Source organism: Homo sapiens, chromosome 10 (assembly GCF_000001405.40).
Source record: "Homo sapiens chromosome 10, GRCh38.p14 Primary Assembly".
Lineage (NCBI taxonomy): Eukaryota > Metazoa > Chordata > Mammalia > Primates > Hominidae > Homo > Homo sapiens.
Window position 1 is genome coordinate 75,340,925 of NC_000010.11, and position 22,896 is coordinate 75,363,820.

A 22,896-nucleotide genomic window follows, 5' to 3' on the forward strand; every position below is an offset into this window, starting at 1 on the left:
GGTTGTAATATTTTACGTGAAAAGAGCAGATCCCAGGACAATATATTCATTCTGACCCTATTTTTATAGATAAAATAGATAAATTCCTCTATTTCAGTCATTATTTCATTAAAGGTGACTTTTTGCTGAGACTGCACTGTGTGGACGCCCAGTTTTACACAGGTTACTGCTCCAGATTAGTTTATAGTGCCATGTTGTGAAGGTTACAGTTAGACTGTGTACATTACTTTGCATAGTGTCTGATACATAGTAGTGCTTAGAGGTAGAAAAACTATTACTTTCAGAAACTCTTTTAAAGTTGTAAAGAGACTGCCCCTCTAGAACAGTTTGATATTTTAATAGAATAGAAACTATAATATAAACATTGGCAAAGTTTGGTATCCTGAATACATGTAGTTGATATGATCTCAACCTTGAAAAAATAGTATGCACCCATAGGAAAAGTCTGTGAAAATATAAATAAAAATGTTAACAGTGTTTGAGTAATGTTGGATCATGAGTGACTTGTCTCTTTTTTTTGCTGTAACACACCAGCCTCATGTGAATAGAACAGACAATCATTTATGTCTTTCTCTTCACTCAAAGTTTTTAAAAGAGACTTTAATTACTGATATAAAGTAAAACAATTACTTGTGGGTTGGCTGAGAATTGCTAGAATTAATAAATAGTTTGGAAATATTTAGTAAATTCTAATTACTTAGCAAAAGTAATTAAAATATTTATAAGCGAACACCCATAAAACACCACCAAGCAAATACATTACTCAATAAATGGTTTAATTAGTATTTCATTACTAGAAATTAATCTCAGTAACGAAACATTACTACAAATTACATGTAGGACAGACAACTTATTTTACTGCTATTAATGATTTCAATTACTAAGTTTGTGCAAGCCTAATTTCTTCCTGCTTCCCCCACTCCCTCCTCCTGCTCCCACCCAGGCAAGTTCCCACACACTGGGTCTGAATTAGGATGTTTGGGGCTGGTCTGGAACTGCATTGTTGGGAATCCCTGGCACACAGATTAACATTTTCCCTTGGCTTATTTCTTGGTTGTCTTGCTGAAATACAGGTCCTGGGTGCCTCTTAATCAGCTAGAATCAAACTCCAGGGGCTGGTGGGCTTCTTACTGCAGATATACTCTCCTCTGGAGTCTTCTAAATCACTTGGCTGCAAGGATCTATTCCTTCCCCTCTCCTGTGCCAAGGCCTTTCTGGTACTGTCTTGTATCCCTGGTCCACCTTCCAGGCTGGGTGGGGTGGGGTGGGCCAGGCTACTATCAAGTCATCAGAGGCATTGTTATGCAGTTTAGAAAAAGGAGTCCCTTCCTCCAGACAGACGCGGTCACACACGAGGGTGGGTTTCAGCTCCCACTTGTTTTTTTGGTCAGGTTCCCCAAGAAACAGACTCGGGATTTGCATGCAGGAGTCTTATTGGGGAACGCTTTCAGGAACTACCACCCCGTATGGGAGCGAGAGAAGCAGGACTGTGCAGAAGGAGAAGTTGAACAACTCCTGGAAAGCTCTGAAGCTGGGATCATCCTTCCAGAATGTCTTGGATTGAGACAAGGGGTGGGGATTGTTATTTCAAATTGTTAACCACACAGAGATGGGTGCCATCGCTTGGCAGGTGATGGCCCAGTGACCACAGCCAAGGAGGATTTAATAGGGGATTTCATTACTAGTAACAAGTAAAGCTGACACTGGGGATAGTTCTCAAAGCAGTGCCTCCCGGTGGTGGGGCGGGGGGAGGGGGCTTGTGGGTGTGGTTTGCTCCTGGCTTTGATAGCTTTGATACACGAGTTGTCCCAATGTTCTGCTGGCACTGGGGGAAGTGTTACTTTTGGTGTTAGACTGAACCCTTGCTGGGACTTCTGCCTAGACCATAAGCTCCAGAAGGGCAGGCTCATGTCTCACGGTATCCCCAGACCTTAGCCCAGTTCACAGCTCCATTAATATTTGCTGATTGAATGTATAAGACTAAAGACAAACGGTCACTTAAATGCGTTAATGTGAACTTGATACACTTGACAAAGGGAAATAGAGAATCTGATCTAATCTGAGGGGTCAGGGGAGGCTTCTCCAAAGAAGTGACGCTTGAGCTGAGACCCAAGGACTGGGTAAGAGTGAACCAGGCAAAATGGGGGGAAGGAGGTACTTCCCAAGCCTCCCCTGGACAGGTGTTCAGCTTTGCCACCTCCTGTGTGTGTCTCCTGGGAGGAAACAGAACTGAGAAGGCATGCTCACTGAATGTATCCTGTTATCTGTTGCTGAAATGTATCCTTTGTCTGTATCACAGCCTTATCTTGTACAAGATTCATGTGTTGGTGAGCTCATTTCCACCAGAACTCAGCCCAGGCTGCTGTGGGATGGAATCACCTGCACCCGGATGTTCTTTCTGGGCTGGTACATACAGGCAAGGCATCACGGCTGGAGGTGGAGGGGGCCTAACCCGGGGTTGCCCAGGAAGGGGTTTGCACATGGATTCGGTGTGTTGTGGAGGAACCGAGGGTGGAAACAGCTGGGCCACCCCACACCTAAGCCCGTATTTCCCATCTGTCCTTATCTACTCTGCGCCCAACCTTATCCCCTCTGGGCCTGTCTCTACTCCCCACTGCCCAAGGACTGTGGCCTGTACATTTCATTTCTCTTCCACACCTGTTCAGGGGGCCTCCCCTTTCTGCAGTGCCCCTCTTGATGTACAAAATCCACCCAAATCCCCTCCATGGAGCCCTGCCCAGTGACTCCAGGTCCTGCTATGCTCAGCCCTCCCTGGATTTCTGCGGCCCTAGCTGCAGATTCTTTAGGGCAGAGACTTGGTTTGTTTGAGAAATCCCATGCCTGGTGCCAGGCCTGCTCCAGAGCACAGAGGTTGGGAAAAAGCTGCAGGAGAAGTTGAGCCCTGAAAGAAAACCCAGCATGCCCACCCCTGTTACATGATGCCCTGGTGGGTGCAAGGCCTTGTGAATTGTGCGGGGGGTGACATCTGCTGGGCCTCCCATGCAGGCAGACTGTACGGGGGCCACAGGCTTGGCTTCAGCTGGTGGTGGCAGGTCTGATTGTGGAGGGGAAAGGAAGATGGAAAGTTCACATTTATCATGTCTGGGACTTTGCCTGCCTTGTCCTTAATCAGTCTATAGCTAATTAGCTGCCTCCTCAGCTTGGCAGAGCACCATTAATCACCGAAGGAGAAAGCCAGCAGCAGTGCCTTGGGGCTCAGGGGAAATCAGGCTCCTTGGGTGGGCCCTTCTTGTCTGTAGCACTGAGAGGGCCACAGGGGCTCCTCTATGAGGGTCCCTCGGGTGGCTGGGAAGGGGCCCTGGGGCCGTGTGGCGTGGCAGTTGAGATGACTGTCAGAGCAAAGGTATGGCATCTCCTCTTCCTACTTGCTTCAACATTCCACTTACGTTCATGGTGAAAATGTGCCTAGCCCCAGACAAGAAATTCCAGACTCCCTTGCAGCTAAGGAAGACCAGATGGCACAGCTCAGACCAATAAGGCATAAGCTGAAACCTTCAGCCTGGCTCTAGGAAGTCTTTTCCTTTCCTCACAGAAGACATTGGATGCCGCTGGTCCTGCCCCTTCTTGCCCTTTCTCCTTGCTGCCTTGAATGAAGACTTGAAGGCTGGAGTTCCTGCAGCCATCAGCCTCTATGAAGGAAAGACCAAGAGAACTGTAGTGACACCAGCCCTGACATTGTTGCTGATAAACCAATGCCAGTAACCATTCTACCTCTAGATTTCATTATGTGAAAAGAATACATCTCTATTTGTTTAGGCCACTGTTGGCTGGGTATTCTGTTACCTGTAGCCAAAGACATTTCTAATATAGAGGAAATTCTGGTTGGTGCCAGCGTCATTGCAGAGATGCCCAAGGTCCATAGAGTACTTCAGACATCCCCAAGCTTCGCCAGCCATGGGGCATGAGAGAGGCTATGGTGGTAACAGTAACCCAGTGTCACCAGCTCTGCCTCTCCAATCATGTAGCCTCTGCACGTCTTTGTCCTTTAAAGTCTTATTATCCAACCCCTTTAAGCCACCCATGTCATGAAGAAAGTTTCAGAAAGTAGCTGGTGTGACATTGATATATCAGTGATGTTAAACTCTATGCAATGGAGTACCTGGTAAGGCAAAACTAGATTTTCTGGCAGATAAACAATGTTTCCTCTCTTAGTTGTATGACTTTGAGGTAAGTAGGAAATGCATTGCTCTGGGAAAGGGATGTGACAAGGAATGCTGTGATGCTGAGCAGGTTTTGGTGTGCAGAGCTGGTCACAGAGGTTGGGATATTTCATAGGGGCCAGGCAGTCTCCTAGCAGGACTGAGATCAAGACCCTGACTGATCCTTCTCTGTTGGGGTATAAGGTTACTAGAGCCCTTCTGATGAACTGAGTCAGTCTCTCTAAGACCCTCTGGCATGAAAGGGTAGAAAGGACCCCACGGTGGCTCACACCTGTAATCCCAGCACTTTGGGAGGCTGAGGCAGGTGGATCATGAGGTCAGGAGTTCGAGACCAGACTGGCCAACATGGTGAAACCCTGTCTCTACTAAAAATACAAAAATTAGCCAGGCGTTGTGGTGGGTGCCTGTAATCCCAGCTACTCAGGAGGCTGAGGCAGGAGAATCACTTGAACCTGGGAGGTGAAGGTTGCAGTGAACCAAGATTGTGCCACTGAACTCCAGCCTGGGTGACAGAGCGAGACTCTGTCTCAAAAAAAAAAAAAAAAAAGAAAAGAAAAGAAAAAGAAAAAAAAAGAAAGGACCCCAGAGGGGAGCTCACCATCAGGAAATGGGGAGTGGGAATAGGTGAGCCAAGCTGATATCAGGCTTAGATGCTTGTTATGGGGGCTGGCGCCAGCTCAGCATGTAGCAGAGTAGAGATGATCCTGGACCCAGGCATTCCGTGCTGTGGGAACAATGGCTGCACATAGGAGTGTGAAATAAAGGAATTGTAGACTGGAGCGCACGGTAGGGCTCCACTATGCTGTGTGCATCCAGGCATCTGGAGCACAAGAGCGTCACTTGCTGGTGGATATGGAGGGGGTCAAACTGTGCGGAATCAGTGTTCATCAGTAACCTCTTGTGGCAGCTGACTGATAAGACTGTTCAGTTCTGTCTGCATCTGGCTTTCAGAAATGAGAGATCCTGATGAAAAGAGTAAGCATCTCTTGTTCTTGGACAGTTTGGAGGAAGTGAGGTGAGGGGATGGAGATCCTGAGAGGTAGAGGTAATATAGCCCAGTGGTTAGGAGAATGGGCTCTGGAGCCAGATGGCTTCGGTTTGTGTTCCTGCTCTGCTACTTACTGGTTTACCTTGTGTACAGGTCTGGCTTCACAAATGTGCAGACCTGTGCAGTCTCACAGGGCCCTGTCCTTAAATAGATCCCTATGCTTGGCTTGAAGTTTGGTGTCTTGAAAATCTTGGTAATTTTTGAACAAGGGCTCCCTCTTTTCTTTTCTCTTCTCTTCTTTTCCTTTTCTTTCTTTCCTTTCTCTCTTTCTCTATCTTTTTTCTTTTCTTTTTTTTTTTCAGGGTCTTGCTCTGTCACCCGGGACAGAGTGCAGTGCTGCAATCTTGGCTCACTGCAGCCTCAACTTCCTGCGTTCAGGCAATCCTCCTGCCTCAGCCACCACCCCCCTCCAAGTAGCTGAGACTATAGGCATGTGCCACCATGCCCAGCTAACTTTTTGTATTTTTTTGTAGAAATGGGGTTTTGACCTGTTGCCCAGGCTGGTCTCAAACTCCTGAGCTCAAGTGATCTGCCCGCCTCGGCCTCCCAAAGTACTGGGATTACAGGTGTGAGCCACCACACCCAGCAACCTCAGCCTCTTTGAGTAGCTGAGCCTACAGGCGTGCACCACCACAGTCGGCTTATTAAAAAGAATTTTTTTTTTTTTTTGTAGACACAGGGTCTCCCTATATTGCCCAGGCTGGTTTCAAACTCCTGGACTCAAGCGATCCTCCTGCCTCAGCCTCCCAAAGTGTTGGGATTGGGATTACAGGCGTTAGCTGCCGCGCCTGGCCAGGCGCCCCCATTTTCATTTTGCATTGAGCCCTGCAAATTACATAGCCAGTCGTGTCTGGGCCAACTATTTACTTCTCTTATGCCTCTGTTTTCCTATTTCTGAAACGGATTTTTAAAATATTATCTGCCTCGGAGAGTTGTTGTGAATATTAAATGAGTTATATACACATAAAATACTTAGAGCAGGGAATGGCATGTAGTAAGCTCCATGTAAGTGTTAGCAATTGCTATCATGCCTGTTAATTGAGGCAAGTGAGGACTCCGGCAATTAATTTGCAAAATACAGAGATGTGACTATGTTCATGTCTCCAGCTAGTGAAGCAGATCAGATCAAGTACATAGGAAAACAATGAAGGAGAGGAAAATGTGACCCCTCGACTTATTTCTCACACAAGAAGACATGCCTCATTAATCCCACATCCATCTGGGCCCGCAGGGCTGACGAGAGGAGAACGCGGAAGCCCGAGAAGTGTGGAGTCAAGGCCAACCTCCTGCCGGAGGGGCTGGCAGCAGAACTCAGGCATGGCTCTGAGGGGTGGCATAGGGCACCTCCTGGAAGCAGCCTGCATCCTCCCCAAGGGGCCAGCCTAGGGGGCAGGCTGTCCTTAACTCAGGCCTCATTGCCCTTCCCTGAGATGGCACTGCAGTCAAAATGGGGGGCCCAGCCCCAGCCTTCTCTCCCTCGGAGCCTGTCTCACATTTCCAGACAGAGATCAGACAATAGGATATTGTGAAGGATGGTTTATGATGATGATTATTCTAAAAAAGCTTTTTGTTGACACCTAACATACATACACAAAAGAGGAGAAATAATAGGTTCCCACCTTAAAAGTCCTCCCAAATAATGAGATCAAGAAATAGGACATCCTGGAAGTCCCCAGCGAGCTCCCCACCCAGTTACTCCCTTCTTCCCAAATTCACCACTACCTTGCCTGTTATTATTTTTGAGATGGAGTCTTCCTCTGTCCCATCTCGAGTGCAGTGGAGTGCTGTGGCATGATCTCGGCTCACTGCAACCTCCACCTCCCGGGTTCAAGTGATTCTCTTGCCTCAGCCTCTGAATAGCTGGGATTACAGGCACCCGCCACCACACCTGGCTAATTTTTGTTTTCTTTTCTTTTTTTTGTTTTTTTTGAGACAGTCTTGCTCTATCATCCAGGCTGGAGTGCAGTGGCACAATCTCGGCTCACTGCAACCTCTACCTCCCAGGTTCAAGTGATTCTCCTGCTTCAGCCTCCCCAATAGCTGGGATTACAGTCATGTGCCACCACGCCTGGCTAATTTTTATATTTTTAGTAGAGATGGGGTTTCACCATATTGGCAGGCTGGTCTTGAACGCCTGACCTCAAGTGATCCGCCTTTCTCAGCCTCCCAAAGTGCTGGGATTACAGACATGGGCCACCGTGCCTGGCCTAATTTTTGAAATTTTTGGAGAGACAAGGTTTCACCGTGTTGACCAGGCTGGTCTTGATCTTCTGACCTCAAGTGATCTGCCCACCTCGGTCTCCCAAAGTGTTAGGATTACAGGCGTGAGCCACCACGCCTGGCCCCTATTACTATTTTTTTTTTTTTTTTTTTTTTGAGACAGAGTCTTGTTCTGTTGCCCAGGCTGGAATGCAGTGGCACAATCTCAGCTCACTGCAAGCTCTGCCTCCCGGGTTCACACCATTCTCCTGCCTCAGCCTCCCCAGCAGCTGGGACTACAGGTGCCTGCCACCACGCCCGGCTAATTTTTTTGTATTTTTAGTAGAGACGGGGTTTCACTGTGTTAGCCAGGATGGTCTCCATCTCCTGACCTCGTGATCCGCCCGCCTCAGCCTCCCAAAGTGCTGGGATTACAGGCGTGAGCCACCGCACCCGGCCGCCCCTATTACTTTTTAAAACCATTAGATTTCACTTTTCCTAATTTTTTAATTTTTAAAATTGCAAATCTATAAAATAAATTGGAAGGCTAGACTAAGATCACCTATATATTCACCTAATATACCAGTCGTTAACGTTTTGCTATATACTCTCTCTCTCTCTCTCCCTTCCTGTTTCTCTTTTTTCTCTCCCACCACTACACATTTTTTGAATCATTTGTGAGTTACTTGTAGACATTATGACACCTTATTTCTAAATATTTCACATCTCCTAAGAACAAGGGCATTTGCAAAGTGCAATTACCACACTCAAGAAATTTAACCTTGCTACAATGTAACATAAGTTTATATTCACATCTCCCCAGTTATCCCAATAATGTTCTTTATGGATATATGTATTTTTAAAATCAATAATCCAATCTTCGGACACACTTTGCATTTAGTTGGATGTCTCTTCAGTCTTTTTTAATGTAGAACAGTTCTACATTTACAAAAAATCTTTTATGACATTGACATTTTTGAAGAGTATAGGCCAGTTTTGGGGAATGTCTTTGAGTTTGGATTTGTCTGTTTCTTCATGATTGAACTCAATTTAGACATTTTCGGCAAGAATGCCACATGAGTTTTAATGTTAATCTTATTTATTACTTATAATTAATGTATTATTAATAATAGTGGCTGCAACTTATTGAGTGTCCGTCATGTGATGTGGGGATTATTGTGTCCATTTTGCAGATGAGGTAACAGAGGCAGGGAGTGGCTAAGTACTTTTCCCAAAGTCACATAGAAAGAGGACAGGCCGGGATTAGGTCTGTCTGACTCCAATGCCCATGCCCATAACCATTGCAGCCGACTACTGTAGTGGCAATCACTACTGCCAGTGACGGCTGGTACCACTGGAAGAAGACCTGAGGCTGTGCCTGGAGGCAGGGCCTCCACTCTGTTCTCTGCAGAGTGCCAAGCTTATCCAGGGCCAAACCCAGAACCAGGGTCCAAATTGTTTATTGAACAAAAAAAATGAATGTTTGTTCTGTGGACAAAAGTTAACATGGAGTCCATGGACCAGTGTCACCAGAGTCACCCAGAAAGCCTGTCGGAAATATACATCTGTGGGCCCTGCTGCCAACCCACTGAATCTGCACCTCAGTTGGTGGGCCCTGAGGATCTAGTGAATTAGGTTTGCCTGATGATCCTGATATAGACAACATTAAGTGAAAAGAGCAAGTTTTAGAACAGTGCATACTGCATAATCACGTATTTCTCTTTCTCCTTTTGAAGCTTATGTGGTTATATATGGATTTACAGTTTCAGGAAGGACACTAGAAAACTGTTACCAATATTCACCTCTGAGGAATGGGGCTGGGAGCCTGGAGGGCTGGAGGAGGACTTTACCTTCTACCTTATGCATTATTAGACATGACATAAGTGATAAATTAATACATTCTTAGTGTAAAAAATTAAACATTGCAGATAAGTAGGGTCTATATAATTTATCACTGAAACTGAACACTTTGGGGAGTGAAAGGCAGTGCTGTTGTTAGTTTCACCAGCAACAGAGAAAGCAGAAGCCATCCTGGGCAAACCTGGACAGGTGGTCACCGTGTGAAACCTGAAGTCCCCTTTGATCCTCCCATCTGGTTACAACCACCCCCAATCAGAGGTAACCACTGTTATCAGCTTGATGTGTATTTTGCAGACCCTTTAAGTACAATATGTATCCATTGAAAGTGCTTTGGCCATTTCTGTTTTCCTTGTTTTTTTGAGACAGGTACTCTGTCGCAGGCTGGAGTGTGGTGGTATGATCATAGCTCACTGTAATCTGGAGCTCCTGGGCTCAAGCAATCCTCCTGCCTCAGCCTGCTAAGTAGCTGGGACTGTAAGCCCACACCACCAGGACTGGCTGTTTTTTTTGTTTTTCTTTTCTCTAGAGACAGGGTTTCACTATGTTGCCCAGGCTAGTCTTGAACTCCTGGCCACAAGTAATCCTCCCGCCTCAGCTTCCCAAAGTGCTAGGATTACAGGCATGAGCCACCGCGTCCAGCCTGGCACTTTTTCTTTTTACATAAATAATATCACACGTAAGGTGTCTTTTTTCACTCAGCAGTATGTCTTGGAGATTTAGCCATGTCCTGCCACATGGGGCTACTTCATTTCTTTGAGCAATGCATGCTGTATAGCATTCTACATATTCCACAGATGAGTCATCTACATCCTCTTGTGGATGGGTATTCAGGTTGTTTCCAATTCTTTGGAATGATTAACAGTGCTAATGATCATGATGATGGGGATCTTATCTCAACAGTGGAACAACCTAGTATCCATCAGAAGTCAGCCTAATGTTAAACTATTATCAGGAGGTGGCAATTTTTTTTTCTTTTTTGAGATGGAGTCTCCCCCTGTCACCAAGGGTGGAGTGCAATGGCGTGATCTTAGCTCCTGCAACCTCTGCCTCCCAGGTTCAAGCGATTCTTGTGCCTCAGCCTCCTGAGTAGCTGGGATTACAGGCATGCACCACCACACCCGGCTAATTTTTGTATTTTTAGTAGAGACGGGGTTTCACCATGTTGGCCAGGCTGGTTTCAAACTCCCGACCTTCAGTGATCTGCCCATCTCGGCCTCCCAAAGTGCTGGGATTACCGGTGTGAGTCACCATGCCCAGCCAGGAGGTGGCATTTTTGAGGCACAACTGAATTTATGCACATGGTCCCTCACTGGGGCTGAGGACTCTCCACTTTTCATACCCAGGGAAGATACAGATGGGGTTCAGAAGTGGGACTCTCCCCAGCTTCACCATCAGAAGATCCTCAGAAGGTCTTTGGCCTCTCCAAATCTTTCCTGCAGTTGAGGTTTAGCAGAGGCTCCCAGGAGAGTCAACTCCTCCATTCTTACTCTTTATTCCTCATCTTCCCTTCCCTCTACTATTCATGAGCCTCTTTTACTTATCCAAGGTGGCATTTGGATACAGTGGAAAGAGCCTGGACTTTAGAACGGGACAGACTGTTTGATTCCTAGTTCCACCACCAACTGGCTGTGTGACTTTCAGTGAATTGCTTTACCTCTCTGGGCCTCCAGTTCTTCCCCATTTTACAAATGGGGAAATATTATCCACCTCCCAGGATTATGAGTTTATAGGTTGAATAACAGAACAGGTCATGTGCATGCCCCTTGCCGCCACAAGGTGAGCACTCCCTAAGTGTTCATTCTAGTCCCCTTCCCTCTCTCGCCATTGCTCTGTGTGGATTAGTGCCACTCCAATATTGAAATGCCTATGGGTGCTCCAGAGAGCAGGGATTGTCCTTCTCCCCATTTGTCACTAACCCATCTTCCCAAGCCCTGGCACAAGTTTGGGGCACATTTGGAGCCCCCAAAAGGAGGCAGAGATGCAAAGGGGCTGCTGTAGGGGCCAGGCTTTGTCTTTATGCAGGGTCCTGGGAGGGCTACCCAGCAAAGGACAGAGAGGCAAGGCCCTGCCCTCGGATAGATCTCTGCCTCATGGGATTTTCAATCTGATAGGAGCAATAGTTCCTAACCCTGGCCTCTAGAGACCTGGTCTTTTTCCCCAGAAGATCTCCTAGCCTGTTGGGAAGGGCCTAGTCAATATCCTCTGAAGCACCTCGCCTGATGAGGGAGACTTGATTTGATATCAATTCTCAGGAAGTTTCCAGGCTGATGGAGGAAACACACTGTCATCTGGAAAGCCATCCCAAGGTTCGGTGAAGACTTCCACTTGACGTGAGCCTCTCTTCAGGCACCACTTCCCTATGTATGAATGCGTGCTGGTCTTGGCTGGACTGAGCTGCCTGAATGCAGGCGTATTATCTTACTTTTGGGATCTCTGGTCCCAGCTTGTTGCTGGCCATCTTGAAGAATGCTTGCAGATTGGGCACATTCTCATGGCCTCCCTATTTAAAGAAGAGTCAAGGTCCTTTAATAACTCAAGGTCCTCTAATAACTCAATAACTCAAGGGCACAGACAAAGCAATTCAGAGCATGAGAGTGAGTGAGTCATCAAGGACAGCTGAGAGTACGGGATGGACCAGGAGGGGCTGCCTGGGCCTAGGGCAGAAGGACCACATGGGAGCCAGGCCTCCGCCTCCCCCAGCCACGCCTGTCTGCACTGCCTTCTGGAAACTGCTACAGTTCTGTAGGGGGTGTTCTAGAGGAGCACCCACACAACCTCTCCCCATGGGAGCTGTGTCCCGAGGGGGGGCACCTCTGTCCTCGTAGGAGGGGAGAAAACACGTCAGACCCTGAGTTGACGGGCAAGTCAAAACTGCTGGTTAAATGGCTTTAAAGTAGAGGCCATTTATAAGTTAATGAAAGAGAAAATAGGCACATTATACGTACAGATTTGTCCTTAATGAGGGGAAAAGGCATTGTTTACTGATGTTCAGTTCTAATTATCCATGCACAGGGCTAGCTTTTTTCCAGCAGTGCCGTGTGCCTCCATTCTCCCATCTTCCACCACGTTCTTTTAACCCCTTCAGTGCCCACCCAGGCTCTCACTCATCCCCCAGAGCATCAGGTTCCAGTGCTGGCTGAGCGGCCAATTCCTGGCTGACCCTGCGGAGACCTTTGACCCTGGCAGACAGCACAGCAGCTGCTTGTGTCCTCTGCTCTCCTCAGCTGAGCAGCCAGATGGAGGGCAGTGCGGCCAGGACCCTCAGGGCAGCCACCCTCGGAAGGAGGCAGAGCTCAGGGCGGGTGCCAGGGAAAACCCAACTGAGGAGGCAGGTGGAGTCTGAAGACTGCAAGCCAGGGACTCCCCAAAAAGCCAGGGCTCGGTAGAACCACCCACCAGTCCCATCCTTTGCAGTTTTTCTGAAACTGTCAAGAAGGGAGGGGCTCCCCTGGAAAAGGCAAACAGCAGGGTACCTCCCAAACGGGCAGCTCACTGAACCATTGCTAAGGTGACACCTGTCCATCCTCACTTCAGCATGAGCAAATGGGAGATCACTCTGGGATAAACAGATAACCCCTTGCTACCCCATAAGCTCTCCTCTCACCCCAAGATCCCAGCCTGCTAGATGCTGCTTGTCCTCAGTGGAGAATAAATAAGCAATAGATGCGAGAGTGGAACACGCATGACCACTGCTGCCAAAGTGAGCTCAGCGTTGGCTCAGCTTGGGAAATCGGCAAGGAGGAAAGGAGCTACTTGCTGAAAGTGGGGTAGGGAAGATGGCTTGGTCAGACCCAAACCCTAATCATCCAGTGGCACATTTGAGCTGTCTTCAGGAGTCTGTGCTAGGAAGGGATTTGGCTTTTCCTTGAACTTTCTGGGTGAACAGCAGTTCTAACTTGCTGATGCTCAGAATGCATTCTCCACTCTCCCTTGGGAAGCCCAGGAAAATGCAGCAGGTGGCTGCAAGTGGTGGTGGCAAAACCACTACCTCCATGGCCACTAGACAAGAGAACATGGGGTTACCCCACAACACAATTTTGGAGGTTTGATCAAAGAGGGAACTTCCTGGTTGATTAAAAAGGCAGTTGGGCAACATTATGCCAATAAACGTGAAAATTTAGACAAAATGGACAAAGTCGTAGAAAAACATAGATTACCAAAACTGACAAAAGAATAGAAAGCCTGAATAATCCTATAACGATGAAAGAACTTGAATCTTGCTGGGCTTGGTAGGTCACGCCTATAATCCTAGCACTTTGGGAGGCTGAGGCAGGAGGATTGCTTGAGGCCAGGAGTCCAAGACCAGCCCGCACAGTATAGTAGGATCCTATCTCTACAAAATAAAAAAAAAAATTGGCTAGGCATTGTGGCACATGCCTATAGTCCCAGTCCCAGGCTGAGGTGGGAGGATCACTTGAGCCCAGGAGGTTGAGGCAGCAGTAAGTTATGATCATGCCAGTGCACTCCAGTCTGGGAGACAGAGCAAGACCCTGTCTCTTAAAACAAAACAAAACAAACAAACAAAAAAAAACTTGAATCTTGAATGAAAGATCGCTGCACAGAGAATGCCAGGTTCCAATAGCTGCCCTTCCTTTGTTGTTATTGGGCATCTGCTGTGCTTCATTTTTGTTTTGTTTTGTTTTGTTTTTTTGAGATGGAGTCTCACTCTATCGCCCAGGCTGGAGTGCAGGGGCACGATCTCGGCTCACTGCAACCTCTGCCTCCCAGGTTCAAGCCTGCCTCAGCCTCCCAAGCAGCTGGGACTACAGGCATGTGCCACCACGCCCAGCTAACTTTTTTTTTTGTATTTTTAGTAGAGACAGGGTTCCGCCATGTTGGTCAGGTTGGTCTCAAACTCCTGACCTCAAATGATTTGCCCGCCTTGGCCCCCCAAAGTGCTGGGATTACAGGCATGAGCCACGGTGCCCAGCCATCTGCTGCTATTCGTGAAGCCAAAGCTTCAATCCACATCCTCCTCCTTATGCCTATTTTCTACACGTTAAAACCTTGAGACAAGGAGAGTTAGGTTTTAATCTTCCTTCCCCTCCTTAAATCAGAGGCGACAACCTACAGCACCTTTTTTTCTTTTTAAAATAAAAACCTCCTATTTATTTGCAGATTGGAATGGGTAATCGAAAGACCTTTCATGATATTATTTATTCAGAGTCCTTGCATCAAGCTTGCCACTTATTTAATCTGCGCAAGTGTCCTGCAAGAGAGACACTAGGATCCCTGTCTGAAGCCTGTTCTCTTCCCACGATACCTCCCTGCTGCCCCAGAACAAGGCTACTCATCTCTCAGGAATAGGAGGGTCATGACTGAGTCCTCCCCACCCTCCACTCCCATCTAGCCATCAACATCTAGGTCAGAGTTCCAGGCCCCTCTCCCCTGATAACAGTGCTTGGGAATTTCTTCAGTTGGTCAATGATCTTCTTACACAGCTGTCCCCAGAACTGAACCTGGCATTGAAAGGTACATTTGGCTATCCTGGTTATGTATTGCTGGGTTAGAAATTACCCCAAATTTAGTGGTGTAAAACAACCATTTATTATGTTTATAGGTTCTATGGGTCTGGAATTCAGATGGGGTACAGCAGGGAAGCTTTGTCTCTGCTCCACAGCATATGGGCCTCAGCTGGAAGATTCGAAGGCTGAAGGTGACTCAACTTTTGTGGGCTGGCATCATCAGAAGGCTTGTTCACTCATGTGTCTGGTGGATGGGGCTGGCTGTCAGCTGAGACCTTAGATGGGACTCTGGGCCAGAATATCTTGTGTGTGGCCTCTCCAGATAGCTTGAGCTTCCTCACAGTATGGCAGCCAGGTTCCCAGGAGAGAGTGACAAGTGAAAGCCACATTACCTCTTAGGATTTAGCTTTGCCAGTAGTGCAGCATCACATCTGCTACGTTTCATTTGCAAGTTCTGCCCAATTTCAAGGAGTGGGGATGTCAAGATTCTAGAAAAGGGGGTGGCACTGGAGATACTATAGTGAACCTTTTTTAAAATTTTATGTATTTATTTTTTTGAGATGGAGTCTCACTCTGTCGCCCAGGCTGGAGTGCAGTGGCGCAATCTCAGCTTACTGCAAGCTCTGCCTTTCAGGTTCACGCCATTCTCCTGCCTCAGCCTCCCAAGTAGCTGGGACTACACGCACCTGCCACCAGCCTGGCTAATTTTTTGTATTTTTAGTAGAGATGTGGTTTCACCATGTTAGCCAGGATGGTCTCGATCTCCTGACCTCGTGATCCGCCTGCCTCAGCCTCCCAAAGTGCTGGGATTACAGGCGTGAGCCACCGCCCCCAGCCTACAGTGAATCTTTTAAGAAAACATCACGTAGCTCATCTGCCTAGCTCAGAGGAAGCTCTCCACGTGAGAGGGTCTGGGAGGTGCTCAGGGTGTAAGAACATCATTCATTCAGTCAGCACAAGTGTCAGAGTCTACCGTGTGCCAGCTGCTATCCCCTCATGCCCCTGGTGGTCCATAGCTGCATTGCCTTTCAGCCCCAGCCCCACCCAGGTTCTCCCATTGAGGCCCTGACAGATTTTATCAAGATGAGAGAACTTTGGGCTTAATTCTCTCCAGCCTCCTGGGAAACATTGCTCTGGGTCACTGTGGCTATAGCCCAGAGAATAACTCCTCCCCCGGGAGGCTGCTGTTGAATGGAAGGTTTTTACTCCCATTTCTCAAGGTGTAGGCGTGTCGAACAGTTTCTATTTATTGAAGAAGAAAACAAGTTGTTTTTTTATTTATATATAGCTCTTGTTTTTGTTCATCCCACAAGAAAAAACAGGGTTCCTCAATTGGAAATAGATTCCTGCCCTTCCGTAAGACTTGGAAATGGGAGAATCTGTGTGTGAATTAGGTCACTGTGGTATAGAGAAAGAAGTTGGGAGAACTCCTCTAACCCCTTTTTTTTTTAAGCACAGGAGCATGGTTTGTATAGCTGGTTCACTGGCTATTATACTGGAAAGCAGAATGAGTGGGTCAAGACAAGTAGAGGTATAGCTAGCATCATAATCACAATAGGGCCGGGCACAGTAGCTTACACCTGTAATTCCAACACTTTGGGGGGCAGAGCTTTGAGGACTGCTTGAGCCTAGGAGTTCAAGATTAGTTTAGGAAACATAGTGAGGCTCCATCTTTACAAAAAAAAAAAAAATTAGCTGGGCATGGTGGTGCATGCCTGTTGTCCCAGCTACTCGGGAGGTTGAAGTGGGAGGATTGCTTGAGCCCAGGAGGTTGGGGCTACAGAGAGCCACGATGGCATCACTGCATTCCAGCCTGGGCAACAGAGCGAGACTCTGTCTCAAAAAGAAAGAAAATAACTAATCACAATAATAACCAATATATATCATATTCTGGACTCCAAGCATTTTATGCAGCATTGTGAAAATGATATTAGTACCTTTCTGATGGCATTGTTAGCAGATTGAATGGCGCAAATGAGGAAAGTAATTTCTCTAAGGCCCAGAGATGTTAAGTAATTTGCCCAAGAGCACACAGCTAAGATGTGGTAGAATTGGGATTTGAATCCAGGCCCATGGGCTCCAGAGACTGTCCTCTAATATTGGGCCATGATATGCAGCTAGCAGGCCTGGTAGCTTAAAGGGAGGGGCAGGAATTGGAATATAACAGGCGAGGCGCACAGGCTCTGGGTGTTGGGTCTCTCTTGGTTAGACACCAAAGACTCATTCTGCAGCCTGAGTCTCCTCATCTGGAAATGGGGATAATACCTACCCCAGTGAGTTATGTAAGGCACTAGCACAGCCCTCCAGACCCAGTGGGTGCTCAGTGCACCATTGGAGAGTCCCTTTCCTTTTTTCCTTCCTCCATATTTTGCCGTGGGCCACTCTATGGAGAGAACTTTCCTGCCCAGGGAAGAGGGAGATGGCCAGGATGACTTTGCTATCTGTGACAACTCTAAGGGAATCCTGGTTCCCTAAGCTTTTGCTGGATGTCAGAATTCCAGTGCCTCTCCACTGTGCTTTTCATTGGCAGAACTTTAAATGATTTTATAAAACTGCAAATGTACAAGGTAATTGAGTCTTCTGTTTTATTACCCTGAGCTGCCTGGACCTTGCCCGGCCTCCTCCTCACTCACCGAGCCACCGGAATAAAGTTGGAAGTGTTTGTGCTGGTAATATATAGGACTTAATTAACCTGGCCTTTTATAGCATTTCCAATGGAGGGTTGGAACGAACTTTGAGGCAGCTTGAGAAAGGGAAAGGGGGGCCTGGGGTGAGAGCGTGTATGTACATACAACACTTGATGTTGGTTTTTTCTTTTGTTCTTTTCTCCAGTACTTTAATCAGCATTTAATGACCCAGTCGAAAATTCATTGTTTGGACCCAAGCACTGGTGGGAAAGGCAGGAGGGGAGGCCTGCCTTCCTTCCTCCCTCCCGAGCCCTACAGCAGGCCATGGAGTGGTGAGCGAGTTCGTACAGTGCCAACCACATTCCCAGAAACTTCCAGCAGAGGTTAATCCTGCTCCTCTCAGGTAGGAGACAATGAATGGATTTTAACAAATGGACTCCCTGTGTTAGCTAATGCCAGTCCCTACTCAACCTAGGATGACTCCAATGGCGCATGTCCCCATTCCCGGGCCCTAAGGCTGCGCTAACATGCTATCCTGCCTGCCCCTTCATTCTCCACCCTGCCACATTCCCACTCCTTTCCCCTCCCAACACGAAGCCATGCCTGAGCTGGACACCCTTCCATACCAACCCAGGAAAAAGTGATTCAGCTCCGGTCCACCCTGGGTGCAGCGGTCCTTCTGCCAAGATGCCTTCATATCATACAGCTATTATTTTCGGGAGGATTCCAAGTGAGGGCAGTCAGGGTAAGTGCCTCTCACCAGCTGCCTGCTCAGACCATTGCTCCACATACCCTAGCTCATAAATCCTGCCCCAACACTGCAGAGTGGTTACATCATCCCCAAACCTCATGCAACAATTCGATTTGGAAATAAAAAGGCAGGTGTTAATTGACTCACTCCCTCTGCCCCTTTGTGGTGCCCCTGACCCTCGATAGCTTTTAACCCTGCAGTTAATAAAAGTTTTGGGCCCAGCCCCAGCACAGTTCCTCATTCATTCTTTCATAACATCAGCAAATTCTTCCTGAGTGACTGTAATGCACAAGTCATTGGCCAGAGCCTTAGGGAAGAGGGTTAGGTGGCTAAAGATGAGCAAGAAGCATTTTAAGCATTTCATGCCTTAGGAAAGCCTACAGAGGAGGCCCACAAATAACGCAGATTTGGGCAAGAGTCCTGTGGGCCTCCAGAGAAGCCAGAGTTTTAGAAGCATCTCCGGCTGTTGAGTTGACTGCTCTTGAGTTTGCCTGTTCAGCACCCATCCCTCCTACAAGAGCAACCAGATTCTCCTTTGGAGAACCCACATCTTCACTAAATCTATGTGGTTCCAAATGTGGTTGAATGTCTGGGGTCCCCAGGAGTCAGCCCATGAGTAGAGCTAACCATTCAGGGCAGGTTAGTCCCCAGCCACAGTGATCATTTCAGCCATGGGCATTAGACTTGGGCTGGGCCAGTGAAAGCTATTGCTGCAGCTCCTGGGAAGGAGGAGCTCTCTTTTTCCCCTGGGACTGGCCAGAAGTAAGCCTGGAGCTGCTAGTAACCCTCTTGTCTTCACCTGGGAGAGGCTTCAGGAACCTGAGAGTGAAGCCAATCACTTCATTTGCTCCCGAGGGACAGCCTCTGACTTCAGGCCCCTATTGTCTCCTGCCCTGCAATGAGAAGCTCTTGGTTTTTAGGTGTGTTTATTACCCAGGCCCAAGAGACTCTCTGTCTCCCTTCAGCTAGTCTGTGCCCAAGCAGAATATCAAGGAACGCAGAGCTGAGAAATGGAAAGGAAAAGATGGTTAAGGATGTTGGATGGCTGCCAAAGGTTTCTTTTTTTTTTTTTTTTTTTTTTTTGAGACAGAATCTCGCTCTGTCACCCAGGCTGGAGTGCAGTGGCTCGATCTCCGCTCACTGCAAGCTCTGCCTCCTGGATTCACGCCACTCTCCTCCCTCAGCCTCCCTAGTAGCTGGGACTACAGGCGCCCGCCACCACGCCTGGCTAATGTTTTTTTGTATTTTTTTTAGTAGAGATGGGGTTTCGCCGTGTTAGCCAGGATGGTCTCGATCTCTTGACCTCGTGATCCACCCATCTCGGCCTCCCAAAGTGCTGGGATTACAGGCGTGAGCCACCGTGACCGGCCTGGGGGCCCTTGTTTTTCAGGTTTGCACTTGTGCGACTCTGAGAGTGGGTGCCTCCTTACATTTTGTACCCCAGGTGCCTCTCTCCTCTCCCTATTCCTGGCCCTGCTTAGGCTGCTGGAAGTCCACCCCTATCTGTCCCTGAACCCAGCCTGAAGAATTCAGAGTTGATTGCTACTGTCTTTCTTCCCCCACAGGTGGGCTTGGCCCATTCTCTAGACTTTGGAAGGTAATGTTCTATAGAGGCCTGTTCTGAAGCTTTACCAGGTCAAACCGGAGAAGAACCCAACAAGTAACTCATCCCAGCCTAACTATTCTTCAAGGGCAATCAACCTACAGCATCCAAGCACAGAGAAATCAAATCCATGGAGAATCTTCAAATTAGGCTCAGAATCCATTTGGGTCAATGAATTTACTGTTATTAAGATCTTAGTTGTGTTCAACCATGATTTGACATACCTTAGAGTGAGAAGATATTCTTCCTGGCCTCAGACTAGTTGAAGGTAGAGAGAGAGACAGGCCCTTGGGTGTGGGGAGACCTCTCCTGGGATAATACACACAAAAAACCAAGAGCTGCTCACTGTGGTGCAGGAGACAGCAGGGCCTGAAGCCAGAGGCTCTGTGTCCTTGAATACAATGTTTTACTCCTCTGACCCCTGTTACTGTGATTTGGAGAGGCAGACAATATAGGATGGGCTTTGCAGGCAGGGAGGTCCAGTTATAATCCCAGCTCTTACTAAGTTGGGTAAGACTCACTCTGAGACTTAGTTTCTTCTGTCATCTCTCAATAGAATCATAAAGGTACTTTCCTCTTAGTGTTGTTTTAAAATTCAGTAAAATAATGCAGGCTTAGCACAGGGTCTGATGTAAATTTTCAATGAATTATCGTTGTCAATATTGTTCTGGAAAACAAGAGGGCATATTAGAAGATCAAAAGTACTGCCAAGCATTGAAGTGCCAATTCTAGATCCAGTCTCAGCCCTCTGAGAATGGATATCATTGTTTTCAAGCCATTCAGAAACCAATGTGAATTGAACACCTAGTATGAGCTCTCTGAGGGAAGAGCCAAGTCATGCATTTTTTATCTTAAGGGGTCTTCAATACCTCTAGCCCAAAACAGTATCTCCATCAGGATTCTTCTCTGATAGTGTTCATTTCTTTTTTCTCAATGGATGCCTTAAAAAAAAAATCCTACAAGGAAACCTGTACTCCTCAAATACACCACTCAGGTGACCATTAAATCATTTACATTGTTAATTTCTTTTCAGATGTGTGTCTTTTTCCCTAGTTACATCATCAGGACCTTGAAGGTAGGGACAGGTCTTAGATTTCTTGATGCCCCCATAAATCTAGGTACAGAGTAGGTCTCTGGACATCAGTATAAGGCCCATGAGCCTGATAGCTGCCCAGGTGGGTGCTGTGTGCCTGGGCGTGGGAAGGACAAAAGAGAGGTCACTAAAGGGGTTCCTGGGAAGGAAGAGCCCCTCTGACTTTAAAAGGGAGCCCATACACTTTTTGGACAACTGGAATAATCAGAAAGCTGTTTTTGGGGAGGCAGCAGCCAGAAAAACCTGGGGCATTGGGTCAACCAAAGCCCTTCCCAAGGCTGCAGTGGCTGCAGCTAGTTAGCCCAGCTTCCCTACCAGCCCCAGGGCTGCAACTGAACAGTGTTGGCTTCTTAATAAAAACAGCACCAATGCAAAGCCCTAACTTCACTGGAGAAATAGCCCTGCGCCCTTCCATCCATTAACATTTTGCACCTTAATGCGGCCATATTTTGGGAAAGCCAATTCATATTGTCTGAGTAGCTTATTGGTATGCAGCTCTGGTTAGGGGTGGGGGATCCTGGGAGGGGGGCACTCTGCAAAGGGGTTTTAATTAAGCCTCAGAATGTTCCGTATATGCCCCAAAAGGGGGGCGGTACTTGGGGGACCTAGAGCAAGGGTGATGGGCTTGTCCAAAAGGTTTGTGTGTATGAAGGCTTGACCATTTCTGGGAAGTCCCACCGTGACTGCCACCCTTGCTCACCCCCAGCCCACACCAGAGCAGGGCCACCCACTCACCCTTTGGGTCTCTAACTTCGAATTTCCCAAGCAGACCCTATCAGGCAGCTCTTCTCAGATAAAATACATCATCATTTGCTCCATTAGAAAATAAATGTATGGCTATATTATGGGATTTGCATTCCATTACCTTGGTTTGCATGCCATAAAACATTTATTACACCCTTGGGCTAAAGTCTTAATAATGACTGGGTATGAGGCACTAATGTGGTGCTGGTCTTGCTCAGGAACCAGAGATTAATGCCTTTTGATGTCACTCAGCTAATAGTTGTGCTCACCAATTTGTCCCATCAGAAGACATTAGAGTCAGGCCCTGTGCGAGGGTGGGGGAACCACTGCTCAGCTTCAGCTGGGAATCGAGGCTCCCCGTTCCTTCCTTCCTACCTGGTCTTGTTCAAAATGGCCGGAATGAAATCTCAGTTCCCCCTCTTCAATCTCTCATTCTACTTCTACCCCCACCCCAGCCTTGGCCAAGTCCCCACCCCTGGGTGTGAAAGCTGCAAGGAAGGGTTTAAGTGTCAGCCCTCCTATTAGACAGCAGCGGAGGTGGCAGGAGTCTGTGTGTGGGCATGGGTGTGTGTGTGCATGCATGCATACACACACACACACACACACACACTTCTCCCTTCCCTCTTAAGGAATTGCTTTGCCAGTCCTGCCAGCTATGGAAGCCCAGCAGCCCAGAAGAGGAGGCTCCAGTCCACCTTTACCCCACAGCTAGGCTTAGTCACAGCCCCCAGCCCGGGAGACAGGCCCAGGATGGAGCTGAGCAGACCTCTGGGGCTGTATTGTGGGTCTTTCTTGTCATCAGCTGACTTGGCTCGAGCAGTCCCTGTGGCCAGGCCTTGGAGAATGTCCTCTTGTGAGTTGTTGTGATTCTCTGTGGGGTCCAGGAGCATCCTTCTCAGAGACCGGAGATGCCCCCCACCTCTTTTGCTCAAAGCCATGGCCAGGAAGTGACCAGTTACTTAACCCTTCTGTCTCTGTTTATCCACGTGGAAATGCTGGCATTTGGCATATGTGTGTGTGCTGTCTGGATCCTGCAATGTTCAGGACAGTCTCGCCCAGCAAATAATTCTCCCGCATTCCATACAACTTTTGAAATGCCCACCCAGGTCGCTGTGTACTCCACAGCCCTAGGGGGCACTATTCATTTCCATGATGAAGTAAATGGCTGTGCAGTGCACAACCTGCACAACCATCAGAGAGGTCCTAAGTTTGACAGTCATCCCAGTGGAAAAACCTGTTTACAGTGACCAGAGCTCTAAACCTAGCTGTTTTACATATAAGCACTGAGTATTGTTGCATGGCTCTAATATACACTGGATTTTCTA

The 22,896-nt window shown here is 47.6% G+C and overlaps 1 protein-coding gene and 1 long non-coding RNA gene across 5 annotated transcripts in view; one reads left to right on the plus strand and one right to left on the minus strand.

Moving 5' to 3' along the window:
• ZNF503-AS1 (ZNF503 antisense RNA 1) overlaps positions 1-20,754 on the plus strand; it is a 65,296-nt gene extending 44,542 nt beyond the window's left edge. For 2 of the 4 annotated variants that reach the window (NR_038226.1, NR_038224.1), the window contains 2 exons: positions 17,586-17,783; positions 19,697-20,754. This is a non-coding gene — a long non-coding RNA (ZNF503 antisense RNA 1). Of the gene's footprint in view, positions 1-17,585; positions 18,126-19,696 lie in introns of all 4 variants that reach the window. The other 2 variants (NR_038225.1, NR_038223.1) reach the window with 2 other exon arrangements.
• Positions 1-22,896, minus strand: part of ZNF503 (zinc finger protein 503) — a 122,192-nt gene that overhangs the window by 61,200 nt on the left and 38,096 nt on the right. The window lies entirely within an intron of this gene.